General features: G+C 36.9%; 1 protein-coding gene across 14 annotated transcripts in view; it reads left to right on the top strand.

The window, feature by feature from the left end:
- Positions 1-12,817, top strand: part of PKIB (cAMP-dependent protein kinase inhibitor beta) — a 254,453-nt gene that overhangs the window by 176,792 nt on the left and 64,844 nt on the right. Inside the window, exon 1 of one of the 14 annotated variants that reach the window (NM_001270395.2) lies at positions 4,017-4,063. The exons of 12 other annotated variants lie outside the window; for them this stretch is intronic. The gene's annotated coding sequence lies outside the window, so the exon portion shown is untranslated. Of the gene's footprint in view, positions 1-4,016; positions 4,064-4,633; positions 4,799-12,817 lie in introns of those variants that run through there. One more of the 14 variants, XM_047419004.1, reaches the window with a different exon arrangement.

The raw sequence follows: 12,817 nt of genomic DNA on the forward strand, positions 1-12,817 counted from the left end.
TAATTCCAGTAATAACAAAGCAGCACTTTTTCCAAGATAGAAGAAGTCTCATACAATCAACCTGTGACCACGTAGCTTGGTTAATCACCCAGGGAATGATACCATATTGGGGACTCAGTGTTGGTCTCTGCTGCTGGCAGATTGGCCACTCAGCAGTGGCTGAAGTCAGGTTGGCCCATCTCCAACTTCCTTGTTGAGTGGAAGTCCATGTTGCTGAGCCCACGCATAACCTTCATGCCTCCCCATGGCCATTGTTCACAAGCCCTCTGGTCAAAGACAGCAGTGGCTGGGGAAAGAAGTGCAGTATCCACAGAATGGGTCATTCTACCCACTTGATTATTAAAATTCTCCTCTGCTGAGGTCATCTTTTGGTGAACATTTACATGGGACATGAATGTTATGTTCTATGTCCATTTAGAGAGGTCTATCTGCATACCTCTTCTCAGCTATCCTTGTCACCAATTTTTCAGTCATGTTCCTTTTAAGTTGATGGCCATCTCCAAACTGTTGACCACAGCCCATCAGTCAATATAGTCTTGTACGTCTGGCCATTTCTCCTTCCAAGTAGAATGAACACCCAGCTTCACTGCTCAAAGTTGTGTCCACTAGGAAGACTTCTCTTTAGCACTGTCCTTCAGATATGTACTAGAAAGGGGTTGTAGTGCAATCACTCTCTACATTCAGTAGAGCATTGGCATTGGCATATCATGCAAGACCATCTGTAAACCACTCTGAAATCTTGTTTCCTCAGTCAATTGGTTGCTGGGAACTCCCCAGGAGACCCTAGGTACTGACTGGTAGAGAGAAGATAAAGGCAGGAGTGGGGACCATGGGATTTGGGCCACTTCCTTATGTAGATTACTTGAGCCTGTTTCAGCTCAATCTTATATATACCACTTCCATTTGATATTGGGGTGTGGCTGTACATACCCAACGTTAAAATGCTTGGTGGGTCAGACAACAACCATTTAATGATGGGCAGCTTAGATTTCATAGTAACTTGGTGGCCCATGGTGAGGTGTTCAGTTTCTATATAGGCCCAGTAGCAGGCAAAAAGCTGTTTCTCAAAAGAAGAGTAGCTGTCTTCAGAAGATGGCAGGGTTTTGGAACAAAGCCTCAGAGTTTGCACTGTGATTCACCTTCAGGGATCTGCCAAAGGCTGCAGTCAACATCTCTATCTGCTACTGGCACTTCAAGCACCATCACCGGATCTGATGAATCATATGTTCCAAATGACAAAGAAGCTTACATGGCAGCTTGGACTTGTTATAGAGCCTTCTCTTATTTGGGTACCCACCTAAAACTAGCAGCTTTTTGGGTCACTCGATAAATTGGCCAAAGTAGTACACCGAAATAAAGAATAAGTTGCTTCTAAAATCCAAAGAGGCCCACTTGGCATTGTGCTTCATTTTTGGTTGTATGAGAAGCCAAATGCAACAACTTAATGTTTACTTTAGAAAGGATATGTCTAACATGCCCCATACTACTAGATCCCTGGGAATTTCATCGAGGTGGCAGGCCCTACACAGACCAAGTAGACGAGTAAATGAGATGTGATGGGAATCATCACCCCTGCATCCTTCAAGCCCTTAATGGTGGCATTGAGCTCTGCAATCCCTCTAGGAATATAGATTTGCTTATGATTTACACTTTTTCTAAGTGGAGACAGCTCTGGTGATTTCTACTTGGCCTCACTCCATAGTTCAGTAGTGTTATAACCCTTGTTTATATACAGATTAAGAATTTAGTAGATTACCTATTTCTTTTCTAGAAACACCATGATCAACTAGCCAATTCCAAAGGTCTCCACAAGTTAGACTATTCTGATTACTGCATTGTCTTTGCTGTTCACTGTGTAACCACATCAATCTTGTCTTTGATGATTAAGGCTGCCTGGGAGCCAATTATCCTTATTGCATTTAGGTATCCCACCCAGTTCAGTGGCAGCAATTCCCACTGTAATGTCTGACCTGTAAGAAGGATGACCACAGAGCTCTTTAAGGGTGCTGGGGCCCCCCTCACAAATTTATTTCTCACCATCATGATGAAATGTGTGTCCTAAGGACTCTCCTGGGGTATGTGAGCAGGTCTTACATGATAAATTTATTCTACTATTTCGATCTCCCTCTCTAGCCTTTGGATAACTTCCTCTTCAGTGTAGCAAGGCAGTTAATTCTGGCATTTGATTTCATTTAATGTAGACCGCCTTGTAGTCCATGTTTCAGCCAACGAACCAAACTGTTAGAGCCTTTTCTAACCCTTTGAGCTAAAATACTGAATCCAGAATCTCTGCTTAGTGGGATGATATCAATAAATTCATCCTAATTCAACTTTATGGGAATTTTACTATGGTGGAAGGCCCTACACAAGCCAAATAGACGAGTGAAACAAGATGTGGTGGGAATCATTACCCCTGCATCCTTCAAGTCCTTGATGGTGGCACTAATCCCTATAATCCCTCTAGGAATGCACTTGATAGGAAATGATTTATGTGATTCAAGTTTATGTTCCTTCCACAATTATCCCACATACTTAATATTCATTTACGTATTCCCCAGATTGTATAAATTGGAAAACTCATGCAATTCGTTTGGTATGTAGCACACTTCCTTGTGGACTACACTTTGTACCTTAATCTTTAGGGCCTGCTGGTACTTGAGTCTTGTTATAAGTCTAGAAGCAAAGAGGGGTGTCAGGGATAAGTTCTGAGGAGAATCAACAGGGTCTTGCAAGACACCTACCTCAGGAGCAGCCATTACTGGTTCTTTAGGCAACGCAGAGTTAACCTCAGACAGGGGTGAAAAGATTTTTCTATTGGCAAATAAACTCATCAGAATTTAGAGATTTGATGTCACAAGTTTGAGTGGGATTTCCCATATGTCCCCATTCTAATTTTCAAGATCCCATTTGTTCTCAATCAATCCTCCTACTTTAACAGGAGAAATTCATTTTGTGTTGTAATTCAGCAACACACAGTGTGAGAGTCTGGTTTTGAAATCTTAGCCCTGTGGTTATAGGAGATAAGGATTTGCTTTTGGGCAGACACAGAAGTATTCAGGTTATTTATACAGAGCTTGAACAGGAAATTTCAAGCCCTGAGTTTATCTTTTTCTTTCCATTTTCCATAGTACAGTTGGCAGCAACCTGCCAATTTCATCATACTCTTTAGTTTGGCTAAAATGCTCTAAGGCATGAAATATATGGTCACCTAAAACCTTGCCTTTTACAAATATTTGATTATGAGTACTCAGTGGTGATATTTGTGTTTCTCCATTGCCACATCATGCCATAGACTACCAGTACCCTCTTCACAACTGAGAATTGTCTTTAATACCTTTAAATTTAATCACATTAGAGAACATATTCCAAGAATAACAGAACCAAACCAATTCATAAAGCTTATCCTTAAAAATTCTATTCTTATGGAACCACTCTTAGGGCAGAAATCTGTATGGGTCAGTCAGGGCTCCACCAGAAAAACAGAAATTGCTCTGACATAACTTTAGGTGCAATTTATGGAGAATGTACATGTATGTATATACATACCTATATATATATGTTGTGTGCATATATGTTGGTTTGTGTGTGTGTGTGTGTGTGTGTGTGTGTGTGTGTGTGTGTGGAGAGAGAGAGATTTATTGAAAAGAATTGATTTATGTGATTATGGAGGCTGGCTGGGCAAGTCCAAAATCTTTAGGGCAATCTGCAAGCTGGGAATTCCTTGGAGGAAACTTAAGCTGCATGTTTTCTTCATCAGGGAAAGCACTCATCTGTTCTTTTGATGATTGAGTCAAACCCACCCAGATTATTGATGATAATCTCCTTTACTTAAATCAACTGATTATAGATGTTACATATATCTACAAAATTCCTTTACCACACCACCTAGATTAATGTTTGATTGAACAACTGGGGCCTATGGCCTAACTAAACAGTAGTTTAACTTTGCTCTGGATGACTCAGAGTCATCCCACATGTAGGCAGATGTAGGTGCTGTGTCCACAAAGATTGAAGCTAATTATCCGCACAGGCTCTAGAACTTGGTTTCTTGAAGAAGTTGTAGGTAATAATCTCTTTTTCTTTAAAACATAGAATGAAATATTGCGGCCACAAAATGCTCCTTGGTAGCATGATTTGGCTCTTCCCCCGGTTCCCCATCCCCCACTAAGATTTAATTGAGGTGGTCTTTTCTCAACAGATTTTTGTTCATTCTTCAGAAAATTGCCTGTGGTCTATTGTTATTAACCTCTTTGAATTGACACATCCATAACAGAGTGGGGTCATCCTGATCTTTGGGTCCAGGACCCTTTTCAATTGTACTCATGTATTGCTGCCTGTGCAGGGGCTAATTCTGCTAATAGGTTTGGAGTTTGGTTTTGTTTGGCTAGTCAGGAAGAATTCTAGGATTGGAAAGTTCCAGAAAACTGGTCCCTGGATAGCTGAGCTTTCTCAGTCTATTACTTAAAATGTTTAAAATGTACTAAAAAGAAAATAATGAGGTTGATACATGACTAGAGTGATCTCTTGGCTGAGTGAAAGGAGCACATTCCTGGGTGAACATTTGATTAGTCATCATCAAGCAAGGTGAAAGGGCTTCCTGGATTGTTTTTCCAGGTGACTAGCATCTCCACCCAAGCTCTTGTGATTTGCTTATGTGGAATAATGGTGTGTGTTGGGCTGTTCTCCTCTCTTGCATGTGTTCTGGCGACCAAGAGGAAAGACATAAATTGCTCCGACAGGATTGCAGGTGCCAATCTACAGCTGTGAGAGAGATTTTTATGAAGAACCTCTAGAGCAGGTTTTCTGATGTTTTATCATTCAAACCTGGTGGGGCGGGATGAGGTGGGGGGAATTTGACTCCGAAACATGTACTTTATTCTCTCTATTAAACTCAATGCATTTTCTTTAATGTAACTTGAAGGGATTATTTGAAAAAAAAAAAAAAATTGGAGTTAAGGGGCTTCCTGGCCAGGCGCAGTGGCTCCCGCCTGTAATCCCAGCACTTTGGGAGGTCGAGGCGGGCGGATCATTTGAGGTCAGGAGTTCCAGACCAGCCTGGCCAACATGGTGAAACCCTGTCTCTACTAAAAGTACAAAAATTAGCTGGGCATGGTGACGCACTGTAGTCCCAACTACTCGGAAGGCTGAGGCAGGAGAATGGCTTGAACCTGAGAGGCGGAGGTTGCAGTTAGCGGAGATCGCGCCATTACACTCCAGCCTGAGCAACAGAGAGAGACTCTGTCTCAAAACGAACAAACAAAAAAGGCAGGGTGGGGGCATCCTAACAATCAACAGTTCCCTCTTTCACTGGCTGCCTTTCCCCGTCTCCAATTATGGTCAGCAAGATATGCACCTCTATTTTATTTTAGGCCAGATAATGTTAGTGCTTGAAGCCAACCTGATAGTTTCCATTGCCTCGTCTAGTCTTTCTTAAGCCCTATCTTTATGTTCTGCTCTGTCAATAAGATGAAGTGTGAAGAATTTAGGGTTTGGAGTCAGACCAGGGTTTGGATTCTTCTTAGGAGGTTAGCTGATTTCCTCATAAAGACAATGTAGATAATTCAGAGCATTCTGTTGGAATAAGATCATGTTTGTGTAAAGTGCATAGTACAGGATAGATGCAAAGTGTATTTTCCTTGCTGCCAACCCTCCATTTCCTGAACACAAAAATATGGGAACAAATAGGATTTTGAGTGGAGATGAGAGTTGTCCTTCCTGCCATTTCTTCCAGTCCTTTAACTGTGACTCCATATCTTACATGCTAAAGGTAAACTCACACAAGTTGCTATTTACCTCTAGAATATTGTTTGTATTAATAATGGGCATTTATTGAAGGTCTGCTATGTACAGGGTTCTTAACCAAGGCTAAGTAGGACCATAAATATCGGTCAATATTATTATGCGATTGCAGATTTTAAGAATGTAAACCTACATTTTGGTGTTCTATCCTCAACTTTCAAAAACAGAGGTAAGCCTTATTCCCAGTCATCAGTTGTTATATTTTTCTGTACTGATTTACTCATAACCTGTCTGAATATATTACACTAGATTTCTATTTTTTTAACTTCATACTATTTCACAATTTTAGTGTTAGAAAGAGAAATGTATCTTAATACTTCAGATTTTTTTCTTGTAGGAGAAAAATATGACTCATGTTAGGTCACTTTTTGGTTCATTCTCCTAATATAATTAGAAACTTAAATTACTTTTGGCCTTCATGTTTTCTCTCCTGCATTTCAGTTAATATTCAGAGATTTTTTGTTTGTTTGTTCATTTGTTTTTGAGACAGAATTTAACTCTTTTGCCCAGGCTTTGCCCAGGCTGGAGTGAAGTGGCATGATCTCAGCCCATTGCAACCTCCACCCCCAGGGTTCAAAAGATTCTCCTGCCACAGCCTCCCAAGTAGATTAGATCCAGGGACTTTTAATTCCTATGTATAAGTACCATATAGTCTGCTTATCATTATAAAAATTCATTGTTTCAATAAAAACATATTGAGGGCCTAAAAATGTGGCACAAAAAATGGAAATGGTACCTGACTGCTAGAGACAGAATATTTGTGTTCTCCTCTCCACCTAAAAATGTTTATATGTTGAAATCATAAATACCAAGGTGATGGTTTTAGGAGGTGTGGAACCTTTGTTAGGTGACTAGGCCATGCAAGTGGAGCCCTCATGAATGGAATTAGTGCCTTTTGAAAAGAGATCCAGGAGAACTCCCTCTCTTTTCCTCATGTGAGGATACAGCAAGAATGTAGCCATTTATGAACCAGAAAGCAGGCCCTCACCAGAGACTGAATCTGCTGGTGCCTCCATCTTGGACTTCTCAGCCTCCAGAACTGTGAGAAATAAATTTTTGTTGTTTATAAGCTGCCCACTCTATGGGATTCTGTTGTAGCAGCCCAGACAGATGAAGACACTGCCTTCATGGAGGTAACAGTCTAGTAGAGAAGACAGACATAAATAAATAAAAGTACACATATATAGAATTATGGGAAAAATATATATTTCTAAAGAGAATAACCTTAATATTGATAATGCTCATAAAAACAACTTACTTTTTAAAAAATTGGATAGCCTTTATAAGGCTCTCTAATTATTGACTATTATACTAGCCTATATAAGGAAAAAAAGTCATTTTAGGTTTATTCTTCTATGTATAAAATACTGAGAAAGAAGTAGCTATTTATGTTCTGTCCAGCTCTAGAGCTTTGAAACAAAAACTTAAAAAGGTGCTTGAAATTGTAAAAATTGAGCTCAACGGTAACCATATTATATTTTTGTATTTTTTTCTCCCCTTGATAATAATTTATCTTTTATGGTATTGTGAGTTTTGTTTGTCTGGGTGTGATATAATATTCTTAAGAGATTCTTTTTCTTTCTTTCTAGGAAATCTTCAGGCTTAGCACTTACAAATATTTATATATAAAAACAATTGACTATGCAACTATTGTATGCACCAGTATAATCTGACCAGATGACTTTTTGTCTCCATTAAATAAAAGATCTGATAAGTCTGTTACATAAAAGAATAGTGTGTTGTAGACATATCGTGAAAGTTCAAATCCTCTTTCAGAGAATAGTAACAATTCTATAAATCTCATTTTTTATTTTAGGTAAACTGCACACTAAGACTTTAAGCATATTGCTATACAGTTGAAAAGAATCAGTTCATGGAGAATTAAATAAAATTTTTTACTTAAGTATATTTTAAATATAGTATTTGAATTTGAGAGAAATTAAAATTTGCCTATTGTGCTAAGAAATTGTTCCCATAACATCAAGCAAAGCTTTTTAGCCAAACTGATGTATCACTACTGAGATTTGTCCCCATTCATGCCACATATCTGGCTGTCACTGCCCCTGACCCACAGTGAGGCAGGGCCATGGAGTTGCAGCTTTAGCTCTTCAGCCAGAAACCCAGGCGGGAGAAGTGAGGGGGCAAGAAAGTTGATGGGGGTGTCAGGTGTCCAGGGAGTGGAACATGAGAGAAACAAGGGAATTCTGAAATTATGGATGTAGTACTGAGGATGTCAAAGCAGAACTGGCTTATGGATAAAAGCCAGTAAAGGCAAGACCACCAATGATCCATATGTTTGCTCTATGCACACTAGCTATATTTGCCACGTACATCTCCAGGTTGTTCACCTCCTCAAAGAGGCTGTCTCTGTCTCCTCATCTAATTTAAATACTCCTTAAGTTCTCATTATTATCTAATGACTTATTTTTCCCTTTCAGAATTGTAAATTGTAAATTATATATTTGATTACTTATATATGTTCTATATTCTCTTTTAGTCTTCAATTAAAATAAATTTTATTGTGCATATTTGAGGTTTATAACATGATGCTATGGAATATATACAGATAGTAAAATAGTTAAAGTAGTGAAGCAGATTAACATATCTGTCATCTCACGTAGCTACTTCTTATTTTGTCTTTAAGGCTTTTTTACACCAACTATCTTCCAGTTGTTCAATAAACATTTGTTAAACGAATGAATGATGACCAAAGCTTTCAACCGGTTGCTGTTGGTGTTTCCCTTTATCCAATAGGACTTGAGTCTAAAATTGCTACTCATGGCTACATATTCATTAGGGGCACACATGAACATCACCAAAATGCTTGGAAATGTGCACATTTTTTCAAAGTGGTTATTCCGTTGGCTTGCAATAGATGTTAGTGATCACCTACCCCCAAAATGCAGCTATTTATCCGAACATAATATCACAATTATGTTAGTGTAATAAATTGTTTTTTATTGGTGTCAATGATAGATGTAGATGATATTTTGGAGCTAACTTGGCTTTCATTTTTAGTGAAGTATGTAGAATTTCATACTGAGGGGAATTTATGAGTGAATGATTGCAGAAGTATTGGGATTGTCTCTAGTTTTGGGCATATCTGCAATGCTACTTCCTTTTTCATCATGGTTTAGCAGGAATTGCTTGGAATCTTTCTTACATTGATATTTCCAGAAAACTCTGTTGATATTTGTTGCTCTTTTTTTAGCTGTATGTTTCTAATCTTTGAAAGATATGGAAGCAATCCAATTTAAACACTGGCTTTCAGCCACATCTCAATATACTCATAAAACCAATAAAAATTCTTTCAGTCCAGCTTCACAGATACAGGAATCATGCAGCTCTTTCTTGAGCCATTAAGGGACATAACTAAAGATAAGGGTTTTGTCATATATCAGATATGTGTGGTGTGTACGCTAGCCTTAAAGATAAACTCACAAATTCTAATTTTCTGCTATTGTCCTGAATCACTGGATTAAGCTCTTTATATCATGTTGATTAAGATATACACTAAAATTAAATTTACTAATCTTTTATGCAAATTCAAAGAAAAAGCTTCCTGAAACCTTAGCTTATTAATTTAAAATAATTTAAAATATTATGTACTTTTAATCTGGGAGTCTAAAATATTTTTGTAATAGATTGGTTTTGTGCTGGTTCTGGAATAATTAATTGAAAATATTAGACATAACTTATATTTGCAGAACTAGTTTGGGCCAAGTCATGTATATTATTCCTTGACAACATCAGGCACACATGACCACTAAATTAGTTACTGTATAATTATAATAATTAAATGATTTTTACTAAGTGATGAATCAGATTTGATTTACAAATTCATAAAAGTAATGATACAATTATTGGCTACATCTTACTCTACCACAGAGTAGGAAATGTATTGGCTTAGTTTGCTGAGTGCTTTAAGATTATAATTTAAATACTGTCCCTTGAGATGTTAATAAATCCAATTCCTTGATATTTCACTTTCACTAATTGCCTTCATTCATTTATACTCTTATTTTTTGTATTCTAAAGCTTGAAATTGTTGTTTTCATAATGATGTGATGCACAGATCACTATGGAAGTGTAACATAAACTTGGAGTTCAAGCTTGATTTTTCCTTATTAGTGGGGACCCTCTCTGGGCAGAGGTCTTTCTGAATTAAGGCCAGGGGAAAGCCTTGTTTGTTGGCAAAAGCAGACCTATCTCAGGACCACTACTGGCTGCAACATCCTCTTACCTTAAATCTGAACTAGGAATCACTGAAGATAAGGGATCTTGGTAATGTTAAATGTTTATGTTAACAGTAGCATTTATTCATTTGTTAAGCATTCATTTGACAAATTTTTTATTGAGTACCTACTTACCATCTGCCAGGCACTCCTCTAGATACTGGGAATATAGGGTTGAACAAAAAAGAATCATAGCCTAATGGAACACCCATTTTTAAAATAATATTAAACAGTAAGCTTGAATTATATAATATTATTAATCAAAGCAACTTTTCATAAGGAATGAAAACTACACTTTACCAAATAGAAGTCATATGAACTTTTAAAATGAATAGACATTTCTATTTGCATATTTTTACATGGAAATGAATGCTTCTAAACACTTTAAAATAATTTGTTTCCTGACAAAGTTTAAAGATCTCTAGCTCTCATTAGAATTTCATTTAGTCTGTAATTGACTTAGCAAGTTAATGAGGCTTTATATACATATAAAATAAACTTGAATGTATTTTTAAATGTCTACATATAGAGTTCTACGTACATGTGGATACTCTTTAGAAAGATATTTTCAAAATTGTTGACATCTGAAAGATTCATTCCTTACTGTGCTGTTTCCCTCAGAGATTATGCAAAATTTAATTATGCTTTTAAAGACATTGTGCATAATCGATCTATGGATAAATCAAACTGAATATGAAATCATTTTGTAAGACCATTTGGTTCTTATATGATCTAGTTATAGGTACTTGATTGTTTTCCCCACAAAAGTACTGAGTAAACTTAACTTAGTGAAAGGAATATGATTTTCCTTTCAAACAGTGAAACGGCAAGAGTGAAACATGGTGAGAGTTCCACTGTTTGAAAGGAAAGACATCTTCTTAACTAGTATTTATTTTTATTTTTAACTATTATTTTAATTTCAGGGGTACAAGTGCAGGTTGAAACTGTAATTTAATAACTCTCAGTCTTGAGCTATTTTTCGGTAAAGTTGCCTATGTGTATCACTAGCATTGATTTAATGAAGTAGTGAGAGGAGAATCTGTAAATGCAGAAGTGAAGTAATTGAAAATCTATTAGCTGAGAGGTTCCTGCTCATGCTATATTTAGAGAACACAATTAAAAGAAAAAAATGGAAAAAAAACAAGGAACTTTTATGTGAAAAGACACAGAGAATGACAGTGCACAATAGAAAGAGCTGCATTAAATAAAAATAAAAATGGAAACATTTATCCAGTGCAGCATGATATTAAAATATTCTGAAAGAGCACGAAAATTAATTATCTACTTTAGTTTTCCTTTACAAATGAGTTAGAAATGTCAAACAAATTTCTGGATAAATGAGAAGGCTAAGCACTGAATCATTTGCAGGTGTTTTCTGAACACAGCAGAGCCTGGTGGATTCTGACATACATGAGAAAAGCCCCCACCAATTAAGGTGGGTTTCTCATAGTCATATGCACTTCCACTATTGTGGACAATATGGTCAAGAGTAAAGAAGCCCATGTTGCCCTTTACTTTGAAAGACAAGATGATATGTTGGAAGAAACACTAGGCTGAATCCAGAGACCTAATTACACTTTCACTCTTCATCTCAGCAACTCAGAGACCAAGGCATGTAGGATTTCAGCTATGGAACTAGAGGACTGAGATGAAAGAGTTAAACGTATTCTCCTCTAAGGTCCCTTCCAAACTGATCATGCTGTAGCCTTGGGATATGTTGTTCTCTTACAGACTAAACCACAGATACGGTCACGTTCTCCATGCTTGGATCTCAGGGCTGAGAAGGCTTTGTATATGTTTACAATTGTAATCACTGGAAAGTTTACAGGGCATGGATATCTTGGAATTAAATAAGCACATGGCTACTTACACTAAAAAGTTTCTGTTTCATTAAGTACAAATTTTTGATTAGAATACAAGGAGGTAGTTCCCCCAACCTTTGCAATTCTATAGCCTAAAGGATTAAGCTAAAATGATCATGTTTATTATTAAGCAACCAAAGGAAAATGTTCCCATATGGAAATGTGTGATTTCTTCAAGATAACATACTTGCAACAGGATTGTAAATGAGAGAGAAAACCCACTGATTGATATATCTCTGCAATAAATATTACCATTCATCTCAAGACCCACTCATTTAATAAACCTTTTATGTATAAGACACTTACATTTATAGATTAAATATTTATACTTAGACTTTTTTAGTGTTTTAGAAGAATAATCAAAAGGTAGAAAATATACATGATTTGTTAAATATAACAAGCTGGCATCCTAGTTCTACATTTGAAAAAATAAAATAACCTCAATTTGGGATCTGTAATCAATGTGTTCATCAAAATGCTACAAGAATAAATTATATGGATAAAGATGATTGGCATATCGCACACCGTAATCCTCCCTCAGAGATTCACACCCAGCACTAACATCCTCTGAGTCAATTTATTTAACTTAAAAAAAACTTTATTGACATAATTTGCTACCATAAAAGCCACCCATTTAAATAGTTTCTAGTATATTCACGCACTGTCATGTCACCACAATCCATTTTAGGTCATTTTCATCACCCCAGAGAGAAACCCTATAAACATTAGTTGTGACTCCCTATTTCCCCCAAAGCCTAGGGACTCCCTCTCCATCCTTAGGCCACCACAAATTTTTCTTGTTTTGTAAATTTGCATATTTTGGACATTTTATATAAATTGAATCATACAACATGTGGTTCCTCTCATTTAGCATAATGTTTTCCAGGATCATCAATGTTGTGGCATGTATCAATCCTTCAT

Source organism: Homo sapiens, chromosome 6 (assembly GCF_000001405.40).
Source record: "Homo sapiens chromosome 6, GRCh38.p14 Primary Assembly".
NCBI lineage: Eukaryota > Metazoa > Chordata > Mammalia > Primates > Hominidae > Homo > Homo sapiens.